Consider the following 24,885-nt stretch of genomic DNA (forward strand, 5'->3'; position numbering starts at 1 on the left):
TAAGCGGTGCTTTCTAGCTCTAAATTCTAAGACGAAGCTCTAAAATCAGAAGCCTCACCCTTCTCTCAATCTTGCTTTCAGCATCCCAAGACAGTTTAAGTAATGGTGGGAAATTTTTTCATTTACCCATTGCCTGTAGGCAGAAGGCTTTGGTCAATTACCCAGCAAGAGAAATGCTTAGAGCTAAGTGTGCCAGGAATCTTGCAGCAAGTAAGTGGCTGGATGAGTCCATTATCTGGAGATTCCAATCAGCACAAAACACAACATTGCAGGAAAATTCTAAAGAACTTGTGGAACAAGAGGAATGCAATATATTTCAAGATGTAAAGTTAGATGCAGTGCTTAAATTAAATTACTTCTTTATATATAATAAGCAAAAACAATTTGGATTATCAAGGCGGTTATTTTGGAGGTGTTCCGCTAATTAAGAATGAGCTAATTATTAACTCATATCAATAGAGTGCTTACTGTAGATTTAAAAATTCATAATTTTCTGATAGGGAGACTCCTACGCAAGTAACATGTCCTCTTCTTCCATTTGTTATTCGAGATGTTTTTTAATGGCTCATTTAATAATGTATGACCCTTATACTACTTTTATTTACTCCAATTACAGAGAAAATGGTATAAAAATCAGTTGTAGCACAGTTCACATGATAAATTCTACTCAAAGCCCAAGTCTGGCATTGTGAAAGGCAATTACGTGATATTTTGACAATTATAAGGAAGTCTTTAATTGTGCCTTACATTGCATAATGGCATTCCAAGAGAAGGAGAAGGTGCATTTTCATGAGAAATTAAGGAGGACGACAGAGAGGAAAGGAAAACGAATATCTTTTATTTGTTAGAGAACAAATCTAAGGATTAGAAACAAAAACTTCTTTGTCTACTAACATCATGGTTGGAGTCACAATTATGAATGAGAAGCTTAAGAGAGAAGAATGGGACCCAGAAAGACCCAGGGAATGGAGGTGGTGGGGAGTGCACTGCAGCCTAAAAAAAGGTGTCCAGTGAAGTATGAGTCTCACAATCTTGGGAATGTATTCCCAGAAAATAAAGGTGAAATGTCAAAGAGACACATATAAGAAATATAAATATTACAGAGGACTGGTCCAGGAGACACAATATCTGAGTAATAAAAGATCCACAAAGATAGAAAAAAGAAAACAGAGGAAAGAAAATAACCATAGGCTTATGGGTTTGAACTTCGAATTCTATCAATCAAATGTGAGGTCTAAATAAATATATTTTCAAAAAGTCAACAATTCAGAAACTGCCTCACACACACGTTTCCTAGGAGTTTACTTAATGATTTTCTCCAACAAAATAAGAGGGTCATAAAAAAGAAAGAGTGCTCTTGACAACCATGAAATGTAAAAGTAAAGGGCAGAGGGCAGAATGTGAAAGGGACAGAAGTGAAAGGAAGGAGAGAATTGCAAAATAAATGTCCTTGTAAGCATGGAGTCTTGACCCAAGAAGAGATGGAAGTTGAAGTACAGTGGCTGAAGTTGCAGAAGCAACGAACAGAGAACTTAGTAGTGACATACATTTTGGCAGAAGAGACAAGAGGAAAGATGAGGGTAGGGCACATGAACTATTACAGCAAAAGACGATAGAGGATCTCCTAAGATAAAAATTTAAATAATGGTCAAGCTAGTATATGGAGACAGAGAAATAGCCAGAAGAATTTAAAACAAATATGAAGAGGGTAGAAGGGGATAGAGAAACATTGGAGAGAAGGCTGTTGATCTTTATCAGAAACCCATCTGTACATTTGAAGACATTTATATTTTTTTAACTTCAAAAGGCTTTTAATTTAGATAAATGGAGTAAAGTCAACCTTTATGGTATTTCTGTCCTCTTCTCCAGTGTGCTGTTATATTCCAGGTCTAGCCATCCACCTATTAAGAATCTGGACACCTTGGACTCCTCCTGTTTACTCCTAAGAACTCCAGGGAATCTGTTCATTCATGATACCCTCCAGTCTTGTATGTCTGCATTTTCTCGAGAGTCTTTAGGATGTGGTCTTTGCAGCACTCTCAGCATGTCAATTCTTTGTTGCTCTTCTAACAAAATTCATTCCCCTCTAACATTTAATTACTCTAATTTTCCAGTTGATCTGATGTGTTTAATGTGAGTTATATAAATTTCTCATATGAATGATTGAATGTTGATGGTCTGATTTATCTTCCAGTCATATTAAAACCAGCTAATTTTCTCTTCTCAGAAAATTGTGAGTGTTTGGGTGGTATTTAATTATTATTGGCTGACATATTTAAGCTCCAGGGTGAGTATAAAGATATTTTCAATTTAATAGGTTTAAGATGTCATCATTCCATGCTGATGAATTTCTACTTGTTAGGAGAAAATCTTCCAGAATTAATGAACCTATTTGGACATCCTGATACAGCTTGAAGCCTCAGTTATACAAACCTTGACTATAAAATTAAATGGTGGCCGGGTGTGGTGGCTCACTCCTGTAATCCCAGCAATTTGGGAGGCTGAGGCGGGAGGATCACCTGAGATCAGGAGTTCGGGACCAGCCTGGCCAACATGGTGAAACGCCATCTCTATTAAAAATACAAAAATTAGCCAGGCATGGTGGCACGCCCCTGTGGTCCTAGCTACTGGAGAGGTTAAGGCAGGAGAATTGCTTGAACCCAGGAGGCGGATGTTGCAGTGAGCTGAGATTGCACCACTGCACTCCAGGCTGGGAAACGAGTGAAACTCCATCACAAAAATAATAATAATAATAATACATAAATAAATGGTACTGGATAAAAACTAAAACAAACACACCCCCAACATGAGCAAATGAACATCTGAAAGCTGAATAAATGCAGACATAAGCAGCCTAGGGACAAGTTTACTAAGAGCTTTTGAAATGTTTTCAGTACAGCCTATAATAACATAAACACTTTAAATCTGATTTATTTGAAAGGATTTGTGTGAAATACCACTCATAGCTTCCTCACACAGGATATATCTCCTCCCACCTCTTACAGTCCAGAAACAGTAACTCAACTCATTAAATATTAGGTTGAAAAAGATTCAATTAAAAAAAAAAACTTTAAAAGCAACCCAACAATAAAGTAAAACAACCATGCAATAGTCCAAAAGGATTAACAACATAATTAATTATTATTCTAATATCAAATGCCATATATAGAAGCAGGCTTGGTGCTGCAGTACACTTGTACCAATGTGACACAGTTTTTTGCCTAAATGTTTGGTCTTCAGATTACCTAGTGAGAGCATTTTTCTCTTTGTTTATTTCGTTTGCCTGGTTCTGGGCACTGTCCTACCTTATTGGATGCTTGGACTGTGCATTCCCTTCATTGCCTAGAATAAGACTGAGTAAATAAAACATTATAAGGGACTTTAGGGATCATCCATTGGAACGCTCTAATTTTACATCATAGGAAACCTGGGAAGGTAAAGGGTTGGCCCCAAGGTCACCTGGCTGCTTAGTAAAGACATCCAGCACAGGGGCCACAGTACATGGTAGGCAGTCAAATATCTTATTACCCAATAAAGAAATAACTACTTAGGTAAGATTAACAGGAATTCCTACCCTGGGTAATACATTGGGCACCCAATGTAATCCTTGAATCTCTAGAAAACTACAAAAGTGTATGGCTATGTGCAAAGGCCTATTTTTCCAAGTAGATAATATACAATGTCAACAGAGTAACAAATTGATCTGTGATCAAAGAAAATGTTAAGAATCACTACTTTAGAACAAATAAAAATGCAGCCCTACAAACAGAACTCTTGGCCTTACAGATGGTATAACCTGCTATGATAACCCTGTTCTGTGTGCATGTGTGTATGCATGCGCATGCACGGCACACGAAAATGCACCAGATGAGGAAAAGTATTACCCACAAACAGGCACGCTATCACGTATCCTTTAACTCTCTACTCAGCCATTTCAAATATATACATTCACATATATAGGACCTCTATAAAGTCCTTGACTGCCTTCACCCTTCAATAACACAATGGTTAAGTATGACAGAGCATTCTGTAAATGGCATGTAAAGAAAAATTTACTACATTTTAAAGTGATAGCACTGTGCATTTGAACATAACACTATTATTTCAAATCATGTGAACAAATGAATAATGGCTATCATAAACAGGAAGGTATAAGCTGTGCCTTTTGGCAAGAATTTTGGTCCTTATAAGCTCTAAGAAAAAAAATCCAAAACACTTTAAATGACATTTGCAGATGGTTTGTATCCTGTCTACCACCAGTTTAGCTTTTCACCAAATTGTATACTCAAGAGCTGGAAGAAACCTTATAGGTCACATGGGCTGACCTCCTACCCTCTTGAGGAGACCCTTTCATAGCACTTGACAGCCTGTGAACACAGACTGGCCTGAATTGGACAATCAGCCAGAACAATAGACAGCCAACTTGGTTCATAACTGTTTTACTGTTTTCACACTGCTTTATAAAATGATTTGGAATACAGTTTTCTGAAAAAGTATTATAAGCATTTATTGCATTTTTTCGTAGAGTCCCTTTAAAACTAGGATAAATAATTCAAATGGAATAATGTCAAAGAAATTGCAATAAACGGGGGTGATATGCACTCCAAGGCAGTTGGCAATCAGTGTACAACAACATTCATACTAATTGTAGCTTTTATTAAGTAGAAAACCAGTACTCCATTCACAGAGTTAACATTGGCTTTGTACTTCACTCTCATTACTCATTTCAATATATAAGCAAAATAATGAGTTATTAAATGTCCTCAATCTACTCTATTAATATAATAGAACTCCATGCTTATTTGCTGAGTTCATGGAGCTAGAGATGACGGTTGTCCAAAGCTGTTTCATGGGACTAAAAAAAAAAAAAAAAAAAAACCACTTTTCTCCAAGGACATCTAATGGTTCTATTTATTTCTTATTTTGCCCAATGAGTTCTCCAACTTCACAGAAAATAAGTGCCTAAGAAACTCCCTTGTGCCTATACCTTATAGAAACACTTGAATGCTGATATAAAGCCTTAGATCCAGGTCCAGACCTCAAAGGTAGCGCTTACTACTTTCTACCTATGAATTTCACTCTTACAAAGCACGTTTATTATATGCTTAGAAGCTGCTGGACAGCTAAACCCCTATTAACTTCAACTATGCATGCTCACACCACTCTCCCCTTCTACCCCTAATACCTCAACCCTAACCCCAGTCTAGCTCTGGAAATAAGCATTCAAGAAACCCTGTATGACTTTGAATTCCAGAAGGATGGCAAAGCCTTTCTAATGACCAAATGTCTCATGCAATACATATTAGTTAGTCTAAGTAATAACATTCACCACTTAGTTGCATGACATTTCTTCCTAAATATTGATGCAGTTATTAAACAGAGGTGTGGCCAGAGCATGGTCACCGAGATTCCTGACCTAGTCCCATATCTGGCCTTGTGACTGTAGATAAATCATTTCACTATAGTTCCATTCCTCCATCTGAAAAAAAGAGATAATGTACTGCCTTTATAACTATCAACTTCCTGGAAGTTTGAGTTTTGAGTTCTCCAGAGAGGGAAGGTGCACAGTGGAATGGAACCAACAACATATAGCAGGAGGCAAGACTTTGGTCTCAGCTCAATCACAATCTGGGTGGCCTTTATCCCACTAAAGGCCACTTCTTTACTGAAACATTGGGAAGTGATCCCCAAGAGCCCTTCTGGCTTTGCCAGTATCAGACTGTGGACTAAGTATTAGGGAAGAGTTCTGGGAAGCCCTTGAACGTGGCCTAGCTCATCTTATCAGGAATTCAATATGAAAGAGAACATATATGGTCCTGTGTGTTCATTTCTCAGTATTAGATGTGATGTCCTTTCTTTACATGTATGTAACTTCTTAACCTCTATGTACCCTGTGCTTTTTTCACTTCCAGAGTGCACTGGAATAGTTCTTTGAATACTCCGTTGAGGAATCAAACATACAGACACACACTGCACACACATAAGCAGATCCCTCAGAAAAACAACTCTGAGAAGCTTAGATTAAGAAGTAGCTGGTCTCATTTGCATACTCAGGAAAGAAAATTGTATGTGGCACAACAAACAGCCATTCCTTTCCTGATCTTGCAAAATAATCAACATTACAACCATGTGTACATGTATGTGCATGCATCTGTTTAGTAGCCTTGAACTACATTAACATGCTATGATCTGGTATTTCTCTCATCAGTTCCTCTGGAGAGGAGCAGCAAAGCTTAATGCAAAATTTAGTCCAAACTTTTAACACAGTGTTTCTGACAACTCTAGAGATTTATAGCCTGAATGTAGAATTATTCTGCTGTTCTTTTATTTCTCATTCAAATGCAAAGAAATTAATTTTCTGGTCATAATTTCAGTACTTCAGGGATATTACCAGGACAGAAGTAAAAATAGAAAACCAATAGATTGTCAAGTCCTATGGCTGAGTGTGACTAATAGCTATAGTGTCACAGATGTAATAATCTAATAAAGCCTCTGTACTCAGGGTCAAATGACATTAGTGCTTAGGAAAGATGTAAGTCTGGTTGCAGCAGCAGATTGCAATCAGCAACTCAGCATTAAAGACGGCAGTTCCTATTGTGTCCTCCCACTTTTATACCCTTACCACATACCTTTTTCTTCTCCAGTACTCTCTCCCTCCCCTCTGTTGATTCTTACTCTCGCTCTATCCTTGCAAAGCTAGAACAAGTTGCACCCCACCATTAAGATTTTCTAAGATTTCTCGACCTAAACTGCAATGTATCCTTTCCTTCAAGTCATAATACAGATAGAGTGAATTTAAGTTACTTTTGCCTCTCTAACTAGACTGTGAGGTTCTGAGGGAAAATTTCTTTCTTTGCCACGTGTTTTCACATTTTCTGCAATGTCTGGCCTTGTCCTGAGTTATTTCAAGTATGTCATGCATTATTTCCTGAGCAAATCTATTTTCTTCAATGTTTGTATCTACCAAATGAGATAGGAAAATTACTCTGAAGTTCTCTCCAGTTCTCCTATTTCATGATGGTACAGATTTGTACTCTGATGGTCTAGTACCACACTGCAATGGGAGATGGTAAGATATTAGGGCAGGAATCGCTAAGAGCAGCATTCCAGGCAGAGAAAACAGCACAAGTAAAAGCCCTTAGACGGAAAGTATTTGGCATGCAAATGGAACAAAAAGAAGTCCCAGAGTTATAGGAGGAGGTAAAAAATAAGAAAAAAAAATATGTCAGACAGGTTGTCAGACAGTTCACCAACATTAAACAGAGCTGAGATGCAGAGGTGTTGTGTTTTAAATACAGCTATTTTATCCACAGCCCTATAGCTACAGGTGAAGGGAAATTAGAAGAAGAGAAAATCCTATTCTAGCTTAATAGGAAATCCAGACTATTTGAGTACCTTTACACACGTTATCCCATCTTTTTAGAGTTGCATTAGTCTATTAAATCCTTTGTGAAATCAGAGGCAATGCAAATAGGGTTACAGTATTATTTAAATTACCAAAGTCTGAGAGTTTAGGATAAATATGTACAAATAGGTAGAAAGGCAGGAATTTATCAACTTGATGGATTAACAGGTCATCAGAAGCCCAAACTGATAGCTTCCAGTACCAAAAATTTCCATATGATTAAGAACCAAATTCACTATAATGTAGTTTATTTGGTTCATACGAAATTTTCAAACATGCAGTCTCTAGGGAAAACCATCAAAGGGTTTCTCTTGGTGCTCTAGATGCTATGGAGCTTTAAACTACGTGATGCCTTTCATCTAGCAAGAAACAGAATGAATTTATGATGCTATGAAATTTCCTCTTCCACAATGGTGACAGACTCATATAAAGGCTAACTCTTTGAGTTCATAAGATTGCATAATCTTATGCAATCTTATGATACTCAGGGTACTCAGAAGAGAGTACTGCTGATTGCTGGGCCTTTGAAGTAACTATAGGACTGGGTCAAAAATTATGCAAGGCAGCCTTTAAGATGGCCCCCAACAGTCCTTATGTTCTGGTATTCACACCCTTGTGCAATCTCCTCCCCTTGAGGGTGGACTGGTCTTACTGACTAGTTTCTATCAAAGAGAACACAGTAGAAAGGACAGGATGTTGCTTCCAAGATTGAGTTACAAAAAGACTGGCTTCCATTTTGACAGACTTCTCTTGCTATTACTCACTCTGAAAGAAACTAGCTGCCATGTTGGGAGCTGTCCAATGGAGAAGCCCAGGTGGCAAGGAACTGATGTCTCCAGCCAACAACCAGTAAGGATCTGAGGCCTGCCAATAGCCACATGAGTGATCTTGGAAGCAGATCTTCCTCAAGGTGCTCCCTGCAGATAATACAGCTCTGGCAAACAACTGGATCATAGCTTCCTAGGAGACCCTGTGCTACAAGCCATTCAGATAAGCCACACTCACATATTCCACATCCACAGAAACTTGGAAATAATAAATGTGTATTATTTTAAGCTAAGCTTTGAAGTAATTTCTTATAAATCAATATATAGCTAATACAGACATCCATTTGGAAGAGTAACCAATACTAAGTACTGGGGACAGCCTCCTGTAGCAATTTCCTTCTTCACTACAAAGTCTCAAAAGCTCTTCAAAATTAACAAACGAATACACAAGCTCTAGGTTATCAAGAAGCCATAACATATGCCAAAGTACAATGTACTTTCCCCTGTGTCCATTTATTTTCTACAACAGTGTCAGAACCATTAGAAGGAAATCACACCTGACTATTAAGTTAAGAGAACTAATCAATAATATTGACTTGATGTTTGTGTAGCCTAGAGCTATCTGACTTTGGTGTAACTATTTATCTTGGGAGAACCAAATTTTAACTGCTGGCCCAATGTTAAATATAATCCTCCTATATTTTACCTACCCTAATCTGTGAGCTGAGCAACCCATTCTCCAGTATACAGCATGATGAATTTTTTAAAAATCTATACTATGTAGCTTGTAGCTGCAGCTAACTAGTGAAGCCAGCAATAGGACCAGAATGGAAGCTAGACAGGAAAGAATCACCAGGATTTCATTTTCAGATATACTACAAAGAAGGCAAAAAGCTGCCTCAGGTTGGCCAGATGAGTTTTGCTTCTAGTGTTGCACTCAGCATGTTAGAGTATATCTGCCCCAATATAGTTTGGATGTATGCTCCCTCCAAATCTCATGTTGAAATATGACCGATAATGTTGGAGGTGGGCCTAGTGGAAGGTGTTTGGATTATGGGGCGGATCCCTCATGAATGTTTTGGTCCTTGCAGTAATAAATGAGTTCTCACTCTGAGTTCATGTGAGATCTAGTTGTTTAAAATAACCTTGGCTGGGTGCGGTGGCTTACGCCTGTAACCCCAATACTTTGAGAGGCCAAGGCGGGCAGATCACTTGAGACCAGTAGTTCTAGACCAGGCTGGACAACATGATGAAACCTCGCCTCTACTAAAAATACAAAAAAATTAGCCAAGCATGGTGGTGTGTGCCTGTAGTCTCAGCAACTCAAGAGGCTGAGGTGGGAGAATCACCTGAGCCCAGGAAGTTGAGGCTGCAGTGAGTCGTGATCATGTCACTGCACTCCATCTTGGGCAACGGCAGTCAGACTCTGTCTCAAACAAAACAAAACAAAAAAAGAGCCAGCCACTTCCTCCCTTGCTTGCTCCTGCTCTTGCCATGTGACACGCCTGCTCCCCCTTTGCCTTCCACTATGATTGTAAGCTTCCTGAGGCCTCACCAGAAGCCAAGCAGATGCTAGTGCCATGCCTCTATTTGCCTGCAGAACTCTGAGTGCAAATAAGTCTCTTTACTTTATAAACTACCCAGTCTGACGTATCCCTTTGTAGCAACCCAAAATAGACTAACACAGCCCCCAAATATTTTATTTTGTTTTTAAGGATTAACCTTAATGAAAACCCCTCTGAACTTGCCCTCCATTCTCTCTCTTGATTAGTCACTTTCTGAAGGAGTAGAGGAAAATCATGTACAATCGCTGTTGTTAATATACACTTGACTTTTTCAAGCTAGGCTGAGCCCAGGTATTGAAGAAAGTTAGTTAAATGACATTTCAGAAGCTTAGTCATCCTGAATAAATATTTTCTTTTCGACTAAGTTTAAGCAGAAAACATAATTGCACTTAGGTAGAAAGGCATAAAAATCGACAACAAGCAAAATCATTTGCCTTATCAATGCTACCACAACCATTCATAAAGTACAAAGTGCTTCTGTATGCTGACAACTAAAAGCATCTACCTCCTTACAGCTCACTGTCTGCATGGACAAGATTCTACTCTTTGGTTGTCTTCAGTAATATAATTTTATTATTCTACCATACCCATCAACATAACTTTACTAGTCCAGGTAACTCTTGCACAGGAAGGAACAAATGCAAATAACTGTTCATTTCAGAAACTTCTACTGTACCCATCAACATAACTTTACTAGTCCAGGTCATTCTTGCACAGGAAGAAAGAACCTGAAAATAACTGTTCATTTCAGAAACTTCCAGAAGAAATATTCAAATGAACAGCAAACAGACATTCAGCAGATGATAGGATTAAAATCAAAGCTCTTCCCTCAAAAGCTTCCCCTAGTTGTGTCCACCAATCAAAACTATTCTATCATGATCCTTACCCAATCCTGATCAAGCTTCTACATTCAAAGAGCTACCTTAAATCACACTCCAAAACCTCATAAATATCCAGACTGTGCATGCCCCTCCATCATGCTATTAAGACTCTGTCAAGGTAGTGCTCCTCCTCACCACAGTCAGGATAAACTCAATTTTGCCTTAGCAACAGATTATTCCGGTGGCATTTTTGAGGACCCAGAATTAACAATACTCCTAACTCCTTCTACTCTCACAACAGCCCCTTTAAGAAGCTGGAACAGATCTTAGCTCCATTTTATAGTTAAGGAAACGAAAGTTCAGAGGAGTTAAGTAATCTGCCAAATCAAAGATCATGAGCAGTGGAAGAATTTTTTTAAATAGAAGAAAACAGAATAAGAGACTTCTTAATACCAAGTATGAGATCTTAGAAGTCGACCTGTACATACAGGGGAATAAAAGATCTTGAAGACCAGAAGGGACAGATAAAAATAGAAAAGACATAAACCCAGGCCTCCATTCTCTTCAAGAGTGCATTTAGATACAGAAGGATGTTTAAATTGTTAAAGATGACAAAGGATGACCAGTACCCAAGAAGCTAACAATTGAAATGAGGCAAGAATTTAAACATTGGAATGGAGTGACTCCAATTCCCATTTCTTACAGAAGCCAAGAAAGAGAAAATTATTAAGAAGCACATGGTGGAGCTGCAGAAGAAATGTGGCGGTAATTGGGAAACTGGCAATTAGGAAATCACTTCTTGAAAATTAAGATAAAAAATATAGATGAATGAGAAGGAAAGTGCAGAAATATCAGTATAAAATACTAACAAGACTTACTAGATGATTTTCTAGTGACAGTTATTGTAGGTGGACATATATTAGTTACATGTTTCCTAAGGCCACATGGCAGAAAAATTTATGGAATTAGTGTCCAGAGGAAAGGCACATCAAAGATAAAAACATGATAAAGAAGAGCCAAATGGAAGAAGTACAGACAAAAACGAGGCTTGGTTTTGTTTACTGTGGATAGTCTGATGAAGTTCATGAAAAGAAAGCAGGATTTAGTTGAAGAATGGATGCTTTTAACAGACATAAAACATATCATTTCAGAGGTGTCACTATAGTTAGGCCTCACAAACAAGATCATATTTAAAAAAATAAAGATCTAGACCAGAAAACCAGGAGAATCAGAAGAAAGAAGGCACTGAAACCTGGTACATAGAACTAGCCCAACATCAGAAAAAGACACTGACAAATGTAAGGAATTAAAATTTTAAATTCAGCTAAGCCCTCCTGAAAATCAGTGAGGGATTACAAGAGGGAACTGAAGTATTACAGGCAGCAACCACCACTGCAGATTAAGGCACAGCAGAAAGACATGGAATAGGGAAAAGCTGAAGGAAAACTGTCAAGGATTATGTTGGAACAACATCACTTACTTAGAAGTCTGTTCTAAGTAACACAACTCCCCAATTAAGTGAGGAGTTTAAGATGCCACCTCTCCCCAGAACCGTTTTTCACAGGCCCAAAAGAAATCCACAAAAAAGGCAGGGCCAGCAAACCCTATAGCAGCAAAACCTATACCAGCTCAGAATTGCAGAATTCACAGCGAAAATGGAAAGGAGCTGCACCCATCACCAATATCCCAACTTTGCAAGAAGGTAGTACTCTCTCATATACTCAAAATGGGCATTGGTATCTGCTTCTTCCTTACACTTATTTAGAGCATTTTACCAAGGACCTTTATTTCTCTGTAATTCTTTGATGCCCTGCTGTTCTGAACAGAGGCAATCCAATCCAATTCCGAACTACTCATTTTCCACTGAGGCAAAGGTGTTTAGAAAGAAATGAATCAAATATATAAACTAATTATAAGAAGGGAAAGGTTCTCAGACGGTGATACCCTTACAAATGGGATGATCAAATTGCCCCCAAAGTACTTCCCAGCTCACACACACTTCCCCTTTACTCCTTTTATATTGCCTAATTTGGCCTGTCTCCTCCTGGTTTTCTGTGAACTCATGAAGCTCATATGCCTAAGACTTTGAGCTATCATTTTGCAGGCTGAGAAGCTACGACTAATAAATTCGTAGTTAAAACACCTGCAGTGGAGCCCAAATCTCCTGCATTTTGGTGAATAAAAATACTTTTCTGGGATAAAAAAAATTGTTCTCAGTCTCCAGATGATAAAAAGATGATGATTAACACTACTTACTATCCTTTTCTCATGTATAAAGAGCACTCAGTCTTTCTGTCACTCCAGGCTGGAGTGCAGTGGCACGATCTCCACTCACTGCAACCTCCGCCTCCTGGATTCAAGAGATTTTCCAGCCTCAGCCTCCCAAGTAGCTGGGATTACAGGCATGCGCCACCACACCTGGCTAAGTTTGTATTTTTAGTAGAGATGGGGTTTCACCTTGTTGGTCAGGTTGGTGTTGAACTCTTGACCTCAGGTGATCCACAAGCCTCAGCCTCCCAAAGTGCTGGGATTACAGGCATGAGCCACCATGCCCGGCTATGTCACTTTAATAACAGACAGAAAGATGATAGCATTAGGAGCATGGAGCTACCAGCTTTTTGCCCAAGTGTTTAAAAAGTGGACCACAGATGTAACACACATTTAAGTGAAGTATTTAAAGCAACTGATACATCTCAAACTGAGATTGCCTTCAAGGGTACTAAAATTTAAAGATTCATCTAATGTCCAACTAAAAATCATCTTTAGGTATTATTATTAGTTGAAGCAAACTACAAGGCACAGGGTGTGAAGAGACATGAAAGTTTAAAAAAAACTGAGCGGCAACAGTACTGGACATTTCTTTTGAATGCCCACATTCTAAAGCTGAAAGCCAGAGGGAGGAGTAGTGTCTGCAAAATGCCATAGTTTTATCTCTAGCTATGTATATATACATGTTCTTCCATATTTGCTGGCTGTATCTTGGGCCACATAACGAAAGTCCCAGACCTGTGATATCCCTTGGGTTGCTTGTCCAGTTGGGGAGATGTTGAAGCAGAGAGAGAAGTAGGAAGGGAGAAGCAGACAGGAGACAGTGCCTTGAACATACATGGCCCACATCACCTTTCACATCAAAGGCCTTTGTCTTCCTGTTTGCTTTATTGTCATCCTCAAAAGCAGCTCTACAAAAAGCCGCTGTTCACAGCCCTCTCCCTACCTCTAGACTGTAGGTCCTTGAAGGTAAGAAACCATTTTTATTTGTTATTCCATGTTTCCTGATCCCCGTTTTCTGGGGATCCAACCTCTGTAACACTTCTCCCCTGTAACTCTTCTCCCCTCAGACAGACAACAAAAGTGGTCAGAGAACCACATCTTAAAGCCTTTTAGTGCTCTCACATTTTTCTGAGCGGTTTTCAGTAGTTTTTTCTACAATCACACAACCACATGTTGTAGCTTCTGGATAAACAAAGTGATTAAGAAATGGAGGAATGATGGTAGGTTAAGGAACTATTATTTTTGTGAGTAAACCTCCTGGAGATATTTGAGTCTCTAAACTCCACACATTTCATAGAAGTTTGATAGAAATTAAAACAAAACACAAACCTCTAGCTCCTAACTGGTTTGTATACCCAATGAGTAGCTGGCTAACCTCTACTCTGAAGAGCCCTGCACAGAGAAACTGCAGGAAATGCATGTCAGTCCCAGAGCTGGACTCTCAGTGACCAAGAGATAAGATTTTTGGGATCACTTCTGACTCATTAGAACACCATGAAAAATAAAAGTTTCAAAAAATGCCTGCATGTGATAAGTAAAATGAAATGAGACAGTAGGGTCAATGCACTATGAGAGAACCCCTCATTTTAATAAAATAATCATTACAGCCCTTGATTCTACTAACAATGACAAAATAAGGTAGCAAGAAGGGAGAAAAAGCTTTTCAAGGTAAGGGCAATATTTATGTCATTAAGATGCACCAAGTTACCTTCTACTCTGGGTATATATATAATGAATCCAGCTAAACCATGGACAAGAAACATTTGGAAATTAGATAAAATTGATTCCTAGACTCCAGTAAAAGTTCAAGGGGAGGGGAGGAGGCGAGGAGCAGACTCAGATGGGAAACAAGTCATTATCAACTCCTCTGGAATAGCAATAAACTTCAGTATAGTTAAAGCATTTTTCTATGGAATTTTATAAACATCCCTCTGTGATCTCTTGATATTTCCAAGCTAACATACATGTGCAAATGGAGGACAGGTTTACGTAATGGCCAAAAATGAGAGAGGCTGACAATTGGTAGCTGGACAGTGTTTTCTGCTTAATAGAGGAATCAAAATATCCACTGGGTTTAAATACCCAAATGACCTATGCTTATACTGACCAGGCGTGTAGGGTGACTTCGTTTTGATCAAAAATCCAAGGAAACAGGACTTGTTGGGTTGTGGGTTTCCTGATGGCTTGGTGCCAGCTATGGATTTAGTTGATAAGGCCCAGTTTCTTTGTGTACATATTTGAATTAAATAAGCACCTTTGATGGACAAGGCCTCTAATTGGTTCTAATTAACACTCATATAGGCTGTGAAAACCTTCATCTGCATCCATTTTGTTTTGTGAGTCAAAATAATACATATTTTTAAAATAATTCTCCTCTGTGACTTATATATATCCTTACCTCCACAAGGATCCTGAGAGGCAAGCACTTAGCAAGCAGCCCAGGTTAAAGCAGAAACAGGGAATCTGTTGGGAAGAGGTCAAAATTAGGGGAAAAAAGAAGTTGCTCTAAGCAGCAGTTTATACATACTCCTTTGTGTACTATAAATACTTCTTCTTGCTCTCTTCCCACCATGCTTCCAGTTCCCATCTTTCCCTGTCCCTTCTACTGAAGTCCTTGCCCCGTCATCAATCACTATATCACCAGAAGGACCCATGCAAGGAGAGCAGAGCCTCTATCCTGACTCTGGGAGAAGAGCTCAAGCCAAAGCTCACAGGTCTTCTATTTGAGAAATCTGGCAGTATGAGGCTCTCCTGAAGTACTTGTGGCTATCCAGAGTGCTTATGCAGTACTCCACTCCAATGGCCTGAAGATTCTGCCTGATCCAGCCACAGTACAGCACTCTCATCAGCTTCTTCTAGGCCTTGAGCACAACTTCTTATTTATTTATTTAGTTTGTTTGTTTATTTATTTATTTAGTGTCACTCTGTCACCCAGGCTGGAGGGCAGTGGTGTGATCACAGCTTACTGCAGCCTTAACCTCCCAGGCTCAAGTGATCCTCCCACCTCAGCCTCCCAAGCTGCTGGGACTACAGGCGTGACACCACCCCCAGCTAATTTTTTAAAATTTTTTGTAGAGATGGGGTCTAGCCACATTGCCCAGGCTGGTCTCAAACTGCTGTGCTGAAGCTATCCTCCTGCCTTGGCTGCCCAAAGTGCTGGGATTACAGGCGTAAGCCACCGGGCCTGGCCTGGGGCAGAACTTCTTTTTTTTTTTTTTTTTTTGAGATGGAACCTCACCCTGTCGCCCAGGCTGGGGTGCAGTGGTGCGATCTCGGCTCATGGCAACCTCTGCCTCCCAGGTTCAAGCGATTCTCCTGCCTCAGCCTCCCAAAGTGCTAGGATTACAGGCATGAGCCACCGTGCCTGGCCCATAACTTCTTAAATTGTGTCTACACACAAACATGTGTAAGTGTCTTTTGTCCCCTTTATTTTTAATTTTTTTATTTCCATAGGTTATTGGGGAACGGGTGGTGTTTGGTTACATGAATAAGTTCTTTAGTGGTGATGTGTGAGATTTGGGTGCACCCAACTCCTAAGCAGTATACACTGCACTCAATTTGTAGTCTTTTATCCCTCACCCCCTTCCCACCCTTTCCTCCTGAGTCTCCTAAGTCCATTGTATCAGTCTTTTTCTTTTGAGACGGAGTCTCACTCTGTCACCCAGGCTGGAATACAGTGGCACAATCTTGGCTCACTGCAACCTCTGCCCCCCAGGTCCAAGTGATTCTCGTGCCTCAGCCTCCCAAGTAGCTGGGATTATAGGTGACTACCACCACGCCTGGCTAATTTTTGTATTTTTAGCAGAGACGGGGTTTTGCCATGTTGGCCAGGCTGGTCTTGAACTTGAGGTCAGGACCTCAGGTGACCCACCTACCTCAGCCTCCCAAAGTGTTGGGATTATAGGCATGAGCCACTGCGCCTGGCCCATTGCGTCATTCTTATGCTTTTGCATCCTCATAGCTTAGCTCCCACTTATGCATGAGAACAATGTTTGGTTTTCCATTCCTGAGTTACTTCACTTAGAATAATAGATGCCTCACTTAAACCTGAGGTCCTTCACTAGGAGGCAGCTTATTCCTAGTACCAATTCCACACACTAAGAATAGAAATATGAACAGGACATAGAAAGCCTCTCTCACTTGTGTTTACATCAATGGGCAGTCCTACAACTGGTCTGCATCAAGCCAAATGAACAGAACTGCAACTGTTCCTACAAGGATCCTACAAGGTCTTTTCACCACTCCTATATATGCTGCTACTGAAGTCATACAGATGATACATCTGCATTAACCATACAACTTGTTAAATGCTACACTGTACAGTGCTTTTCAGAACATTAGATTCAACGAAAACTAGAATCTTTAAAATAAATTCACTGAATTTTTATGTCTTTCCCAATTGTATGCATAATATTTGAGTCTAGTAACATGGACTAGAGTCAGATATCTGAATGAGAAAGCATAGATTTACTGCAGGTCCTCAAATAAGGTCATTTTCTACAACATTGTTTCCTTATAAAATTGATGAGGAAAAAAAAAAATCAATTCCCGGCTGGGGCTACTGTCTGGGTGGAGTCTGCATGAGTTTTCTCCAGGTACTCACTTCCTCCCACATCCAGAAGATGTGTAGATGGGGTTAACTGGCATGCCTAAATGGTCCCAGTGTGAGTCAGCGTGGGTGTGTGTGTGAGTGCACCTGGTGATGTAATGTCCTGCCCAGGGTTGGTTCCAGCCTTGCACCCTGAGCTGCTGGGATAAGATCCAGCCACCTGTGACCGCTTGAAACAGAGTAAGTAGGTTAGAAAATGACTCAATGAATGAATACAAAATATTGTAAAATAAAAATTCAGAAAGTCTATGATAATCATACAAATGCACAACAATAAATGACGTTGTGCTAAAGTGCTCAGTGAGCTTGCCATATTTGTGATTGTTTTTGAACTGCATGGTGGTAGGAGATACTTCTTAGAATTTTCACTTTGCAAATGTTTCTTCCTTAATTTAAATCCACCATCACGGCTGGGAATGGTGGCTCATGCCTGTAAAACTAGCACTTTGGAAGGCTGAGGTGGGAGGGTTGTTTGATGCCAAGAGTTAAAGACCAGCCTGGGCAACGTGGTGAGACCTTGTCTCCACAATTTTTTAAAAAGAATTAGCCAGGCATGGTGGCACACACCTGTAGTCCCAGCTACTCTGGAGGCTGAGGTGGGAGGATCACTTGAGCCCAGGAGTTTGAGGCTGCAGTGAGCCATGTTTACATCACAGCACTCCAGCCCGGGTGACACAGCAAGACCCCAACTCTTAAAAAGTAATAATAATAAGGCCGGACGCAGTGGCTCACGCCTGTAATCCCAGCACTTTGGGAGGCCAAGGCGGGCGGATCATTTGAGGTCAGGAGTTCAAGACCAGCCTGACCAACATGGTGAAACGCCATCTCTACTAAAAATACAAAAAAATTAGCCAGGCATCATGGCAGGAGCCTGTAATCCTAGCTACTCGGGAGGCTGAGGCAGGAGAATTGCTTGAATCTGGGAGGCGGAGTTTGCAGTGAGCCGAGATCACACCACTGCACTTCAGTGTCGGTGACAGAGAGAGACTCTGCCTCAAAAAAAAAAAAAAAAAAAAGGTAACAATAATAAAAACAAATAAACCCACCACCACAATGACCACCACGACTCACTGATTCACCAAGAGCTGGGTAATTATTGTATCTTGTTTTTGTTAACCTTTCTTAAAGGTATAGATAGCTCACCTTTATTTCAGTGTTTAATAGTAAAAGTGTTTTCAGTCTTTATTTAGAAGTTTGGTGATGTTTTCATGACCAGAAATATACGCCATGGAGACCTAACTCTTGCTTATATCAATCAGCCAATGGTAAATTTGGTTTTGTCATAAGTCATTTTGCTTCAAAAGTTGCAGTTCACTGGAACTTATTGAAGACATTAAGTGAGGACTTACTGTACTTACTAAAATTCAATATAAAGACTCCTCACTAGAACAAATATGGATATTTTTCATAGAAAGATTAGTTAGAAGAACATTAAAATGTTAGCAGTGGTCATAATTCTATGCAGTTTGATTGCCAGTAATTTTTTAATTTATTCAGTGTTGTGTAAGAGCTGGCTCATATGAGGTGGTAAGTGCACATCTCTTCCAAAATCTGCATTCAGTGTGACAACACTTGAAATTGGTGATGGTGGAATTATTTACACCTTAGAAATTGACAAATGCCACATATCAGGTTTTTTCTCTTCTTTTGGAGAGTCACTTGTTAAACAAAAAGCATACCACTTTTTGTAGTCTCTAGACTTTCCTTGTGAACACATAAAATTATAATTTGAGGTTACTTTTAAAGAAAATGAAATTTGAGCAAATTAATCTTTGTGTGTATAGCACGTTTTCATGAAGTATTAAGAAAAATATGTTTTTCTCCATAAAAGATCTATAAACCCAAATAGCCTTGCCCTAAAATTTCTGCTATAATTTAATCTCTCTCCTGTACCCATATAAACAAGCATGAAAACATGAGTGTGGAGAGAGGAAGTCACACCAAGAATTTATAGAACGTGAAAATTTCAAGGCCAGGTATGGTGGCTCACACTTGTAATCCCAGAACTTTGTGAGACTAAGGTGAGAGGATTGCTTGAGGCCAGAAGTTCCAGACAAGCCTGGGCAACATAGGGACATCCCATTTCAACAAAAAAAGTAAAAAATCAGTTGGGCATGGTGGTAGTGCCTCTAGTCCTAGCTACTCAGGGGGCTGAGGCATGAGGACTGCTTGAGCCCAGGAGTTCAAGACTGCAGTGAACCATGATCATGCCACTGCACTCCAGCCTGGGTGACAGAGTGAGACCCTGTCTCAAAATTTTTTCTTTCAATTAGTAGCCATTGACAGAGTAGACCCCAGATGAGTTAAAGCAGCAGTCCCCAACCTTGTTGGTACCAGGGATCAGTTTTGTGGAAGACAAATTTTCCACAGACCGGGGGTGGAGGGATGGTTTCGGGATAAAATTGGATCCACCTCAGGATCATAAGACATTAGATTCTCATAAGGAGTGTGCAACCTAGATCCCTTGCATGTGCAGTTTACAATAGGGTTCATGCTCCTATGAAAATCTAATACCGCTGCTGAGCTGACAGGAGGTGGAGCTCAGGTGGTAATGTTTGCTCGCCCGGCTGCTTACCTCTCACTGTGTGGCCCGGTTCCTAACAGGCCACCGCCCAGTACCAGTCCACGGCCCGGAGTTTGGAAACCCCTGAGTTAAAGGGCAAAGGACTGGACCTCTTAGGAATCAAGAAGCCAGGTCCCACTTTAAGTTCTGAATAGGGTCACTTTCACCTTTCCTAGGTTTCTACCTCTTGGGCTTATCTGCCCAAACAGAGATTAACCCTTTTGGATTCCTCTACCTTGTGACTTACTTTTTAAATGCCAATACTTAGAGAAACTACCAAAGAAGAGACCCAAGATGACTGTGAAGAGCAGTGGGTAGAACAAGTGTGTGCAAAAGGAGAAGGTGTCACAGTTATAGTTAGGATTCACTCTTTTTTTCATCTAGCAAACGAGCTAAGGTCACTATCAGACCACTTGATGAAGGAACTTGGTGGCAAAGCTCCATTAAGTGGTTTTAGGTAGAGTTTTTTTTTTTTTTTCTAAATAACTCTGGCCCCAGTTTTTACTGGACAGGAAATAACAACAATGATTTCCACCTTCCATGGTTTAAAGTAATTTAGCCATTTACAGGGATAAATCAAAAGGCTTTGAAATGTCAATGTGCTATGTAACAGACACTTTAGTTTCTAAAAAAAAGAAATGAGGATTTTTTTTTTTTACCTTGGTTGGGTGAACTTCAGATTACATGATGCTACCAGAATAAAATATGTGCTAACAGAAAAGTAGAGGAATCACAGGTATCTACTGAGACTAAAGGTTAAAAGATACTCTTAGGATAGTGCATATTTATATTTAGCATTTAATCCTCCATTTCTTACGTTGTCAAGTGTCTTCACCTAATCTTCAGTGAACTAATCACAACCCAAATGTGACTTTTTACAGGCGAGGAAAGAAATTTCTAGGACTGCTAGTTAATAGGCATCTTCCATCCCAGATAGCTAGAGTCCTGCTGGATGCTGAACTATGATGCTAGCCTCAGTGTAATGTGTCCTAGTTGGTCAGAACAGAACTCAGCTCAGAGCAAGAAAAAATCTGAGATCCTTAGCCAGATTACAGGGTTGTGGTTTCCCAAGAGAAGACAGTATAATCTATGAGGAATGTGCAATACCTGAGAAAGGAAAGAAAATAAATAAAGGAAGGTGGGAGAGGTGCTAAACCAAGCACTGTATGTCCTCCCTCCAATATGTGCATTCAGGAAATGGAGAGCTCATTCATGAGTGCCTATTGTGTACTAGATGCATTACAAAGATTATGACACTTGATTCTTACAACATTCTGATAGCAAAGAAGGATTCCTGTTTTGCAGAAAAGGAAAACTGAGGCCCAAAGAGTTAGTTGGGAACTAAGGATAGAAAGTTACTGATGGCCAGATGCAGTGGCTCATGCCTGTAATCCCAGCACTTTGGGAGGCTGAGGTAGGAGGACTGCTTGAGCCTAGGAGTTTGAGAATAGCCTGGGCAACACAGTGAGACCCCACTCTACAGAAAATAAAAAATTAGCTGAGTGTGGTGACACACATATGTAGCCCCATTTACTCAGAAGGCTGAAGTTGGAGGATCACTTGAGCCAAGGAGTTTGAGAACAGCCAGGAGTTCTACAAAAAATAAAAAATTAGCTGAGCATAGTGACATACCTGTAGCCCCAGTTAGGAGGCTGAGGTGGGAGGATCACTTGAGTTCAGGAGGTCAAGGCTGCAGTGAGCTGTGATTGCATCACTACACTCCAGCTTGGGTAACAGAGTGAGACTCTGTCTCAAGAAAAAAAAAAGAAAGAAAGTTAGTTACTGGTAAATCAGGCTTAAACTGAGGTCTGTCTGACTCAAAAGCAATCCAAGAGGAAATTTACAAAGCACCAAGAGTGAAAACTACATAATTCAGGCATTTACTCTACAGATGTTATTAATAAGTACAAATCATAAGGCTTACTGTTAAATGGCTACAGGGAAAGACCACATTCCAGAACATATGCCATAGCAGGCAACAACTCCAGAAGTGTAAACTTTGGTTAGAAGATCCCCACTCTAAGGTTTGGTATTCCCATGTACTGAAAGCTTGAATCCCAAATTGATATGAAATTCTATCATTCATCAGAAAGGAATTTTGACCCAGTTACTGTATACCTTGCCTGAAAATTGACAGCAATGGTGAAATCAAGTTCAGACACAGGATCTCCACATGTTTGAAACAAACATATCAGATAGCAATCTAGGGGGAACAGCACAGATGCAGGAATGCTTACCAATCAACCCTTGTGGTTGGCTGCTATATAGAACAGAGACTATGACCTGGACAGGCACAAGAGAGAGCATTTATTATATGGGAGCATTCAACATAACCCAAATAACATTAGCACTTTTTGTCATGATCTATTTACCCAAATTCATTCATCCCACTGTACTTCTTTTGTGTAACAAGACAGGAAACACAAGGCTTAGGGAGCCTTAGCATGCAAACCCCAAATCTTTGTCCCCAGCTTCCAATGCCTGAATTCATTGACAATTTTTAACAGTGTCACAAAGTGTGAAAATACTATGTTAGAAACCAGCTGAGCTGCCAGACTACTGCCTTAGAGTGAAAATGAGCCCAGTGTCTTTCAGACTCAGAAACTGGAACCTTGTCATACCAGCAATGTCTGCAGAGCAAGGAAATGGACAACAATGTATGGAACAGTAAACATCTGAAGGAGTAATAACCTACATATTACTTTAATTGCTGGCGTATACCTTCAGGAACCCTAGCAAATAAATGTCACAAGTGGAGCAGGCTGGCAGACTACCATTCCCTGACACCTACTTGGTCCTCAGGACCTATCTTTTCCCTCCTTGTATATATAAGGCTGGCTTTCAAATTACCTTCAGACCCATATTCTCATACCTGAAACAAAGGCACCTGAGCAGCACTCCGCACTCCTTAACTCTTGAAGTTTTCTACAATCCAGTCCAGTCCCTCCTGCTGCTGTCTCTTACTGGTTTTCCAAAAAATAGAAATAAAGATCAGAACTTTGGTGTTAAAAAGTCAAAATCAGGTTTATTTGAAATCAGAACAGTCTAAGTTTGTCAATGTCTCTGTAACAGCGGCACCCACAGTGTACATGAGGAACACAATTAAGAAGTAGAAAAATATGCCCCTGTCTAATGAAAGGAACAGGTTGTAGAAACAGAGTCAGTATCATGGAGTCAGCAGTACTTAGGAAGAGTGACTACCACTGTTGGTAGTCCCTATCTCTAGAACTCTAGGAAGGGGTTTCAATGCCATCATTAATGATGCACAGGGGACAGGAGGAGGGGGCTGCCCTTCATAAGACACTAGTCACCTCACACAATGTAAGGACACCCTGAACTTGTCTAGGTGATCTTGACAATTGATTCCAATTCCATCTTTTTCACATTACAGAACCATAGGCTCACTGGTACTGGACTTTTCCATCACAGGTTCTGAAGGAGATGGTGACTGTATGAATCTGCCAAGAGACTTGCCTGTGGATGGACAGCCCAGCACCACTGCAGGAAAATTACATAACTTGGAACTCATTTTGGTGGATGGCTGGGGAACACTTCCTTTTCCACTTATTCAGAGAAACTTCTGAAAATGGTTGGTTGGATCAAGGTACCCAATCATACAGGGTGAAACATAATATAATAGGAACTGCATTAATCTTGTGGTTACAAGATCAGACAAGACTATTGCTTCAGAGGTTTGATTGTCCCTTCAAAATAAACTATAGTTCATCTTGCTTTAATCAAACATTATAGGGGAATTATATATTAAGCTAATAGGCAAGATCTCAACTTCTAGAAAGGGGAGTCTCAAAGATGTCAGTTGATTGTATTCATTACCATGGTGAAAAAGACTCATACAGGATCACAGATAACAAATTTTTGAAATCGGAGGTTTGAGTTGTTCACCAGCTTATACAATAGCATTCTCATGGTGTATTCGTGTAAGTAATTAGTAACACAGTAAGTTAGAAAAACATGGACATCAGAAGGAAGCTAGTATCATTTAGGATAATTTCACGAATAATTGCAACCATTAAATAATGTTGGTGCCATCTGACACTGAGAATAGATCTTCAAAGAAATAATCCACAAAAGTTTACAGTTGCTAATATTGGCTTTTGTGGGTATGCTCTTTGGAAAATATCCCCTCTAGGATTCTATGGGCGAAGTGGACATAAGAAAAGTGCCTTCGGCCTAATACCTGGATCTAAATTCTAAATTCTAGGGTTAAATTATTATTTAAGATCTAGGGCTCTGCTCAAAAAGTCAGGATCTATGAGGCTAGTTAATATCTTAATTCCTGAAATCTTGGCACCTTATATTAGCAAAGGCAGAGGTAACTTTCATTCTTACCAGCAACTGATTTTTCAGGTTTCTAAATTCAATCTAGAAGGATATTTGGAAAACACCAACTTTCTACCAATAAAGGTACTAATAAGTCATTCAGATGCTAGATAATATATATAATTCAAATCCAAATCAAGAATAAACCAGGCTAGGCCAGGCACAGTGGCTCACGCCTGTAATCTCAACACTTGGGAGGTTGAGGCAGGTGAATGTCTTGAGCCCAGGAGTTGGAGACCAGCCTGGGCAACATGGCAAAACCCCATCTCTCAAAAACAAAAAGAAAAACAAAACAAAACAACAACAATGACAACAAACCATGCATTGCGGTGTGCACATCCCAGCTACCAGCTACTTGGGAGGATGAGGTGGGGGGATCACTTGAGCCCAGGAAGGCAGAGGTTGCAGTGAGCTAAGATTACTGCCACTGCACTCCAGCCTGGGTGACAGAGTGAAACCTCTCTCTCTCAAAAAAACAAAAAGTAAAATTAAATAAACATTTTAATCAGTATCCAGAAAAATTACTAGATTAAATCATTCAAC

The 24,885-nt window shown here is 39.9% G+C and overlaps 1 protein-coding gene across 1 annotated transcript in view; it reads right to left on the minus strand.

Annotated features, from left to right (window-relative positions):
* The window catches only part of USP26 (ubiquitin specific peptidase 26), a 73,942-nt gene that overhangs the window by 45,312 nt on the left and 3,745 nt on the right, over positions 1-24,885 (minus strand). The window contains exons 2-5 of the mRNA NM_031907.3: positions 22,874-22,964; positions 22,239-22,284; positions 21,634-21,747; positions 15,228-15,292 (exon numbers count right to left, since the gene is read on the minus strand). The gene's annotated coding sequence lies outside the window, so the exon portion shown is untranslated. The remainder of the gene's footprint in view (positions 1-15,227; positions 15,293-21,633; positions 21,748-22,238; positions 22,285-22,873; positions 22,965-24,885) is intronic.

The sequence above is a fragment of the Homo sapiens genome, chromosome X, assembly GCF_000001405.40.
Source record: "Homo sapiens chromosome X, GRCh38.p14 Primary Assembly".
Lineage (NCBI taxonomy): Eukaryota > Metazoa > Chordata > Mammalia > Primates > Hominidae > Homo > Homo sapiens.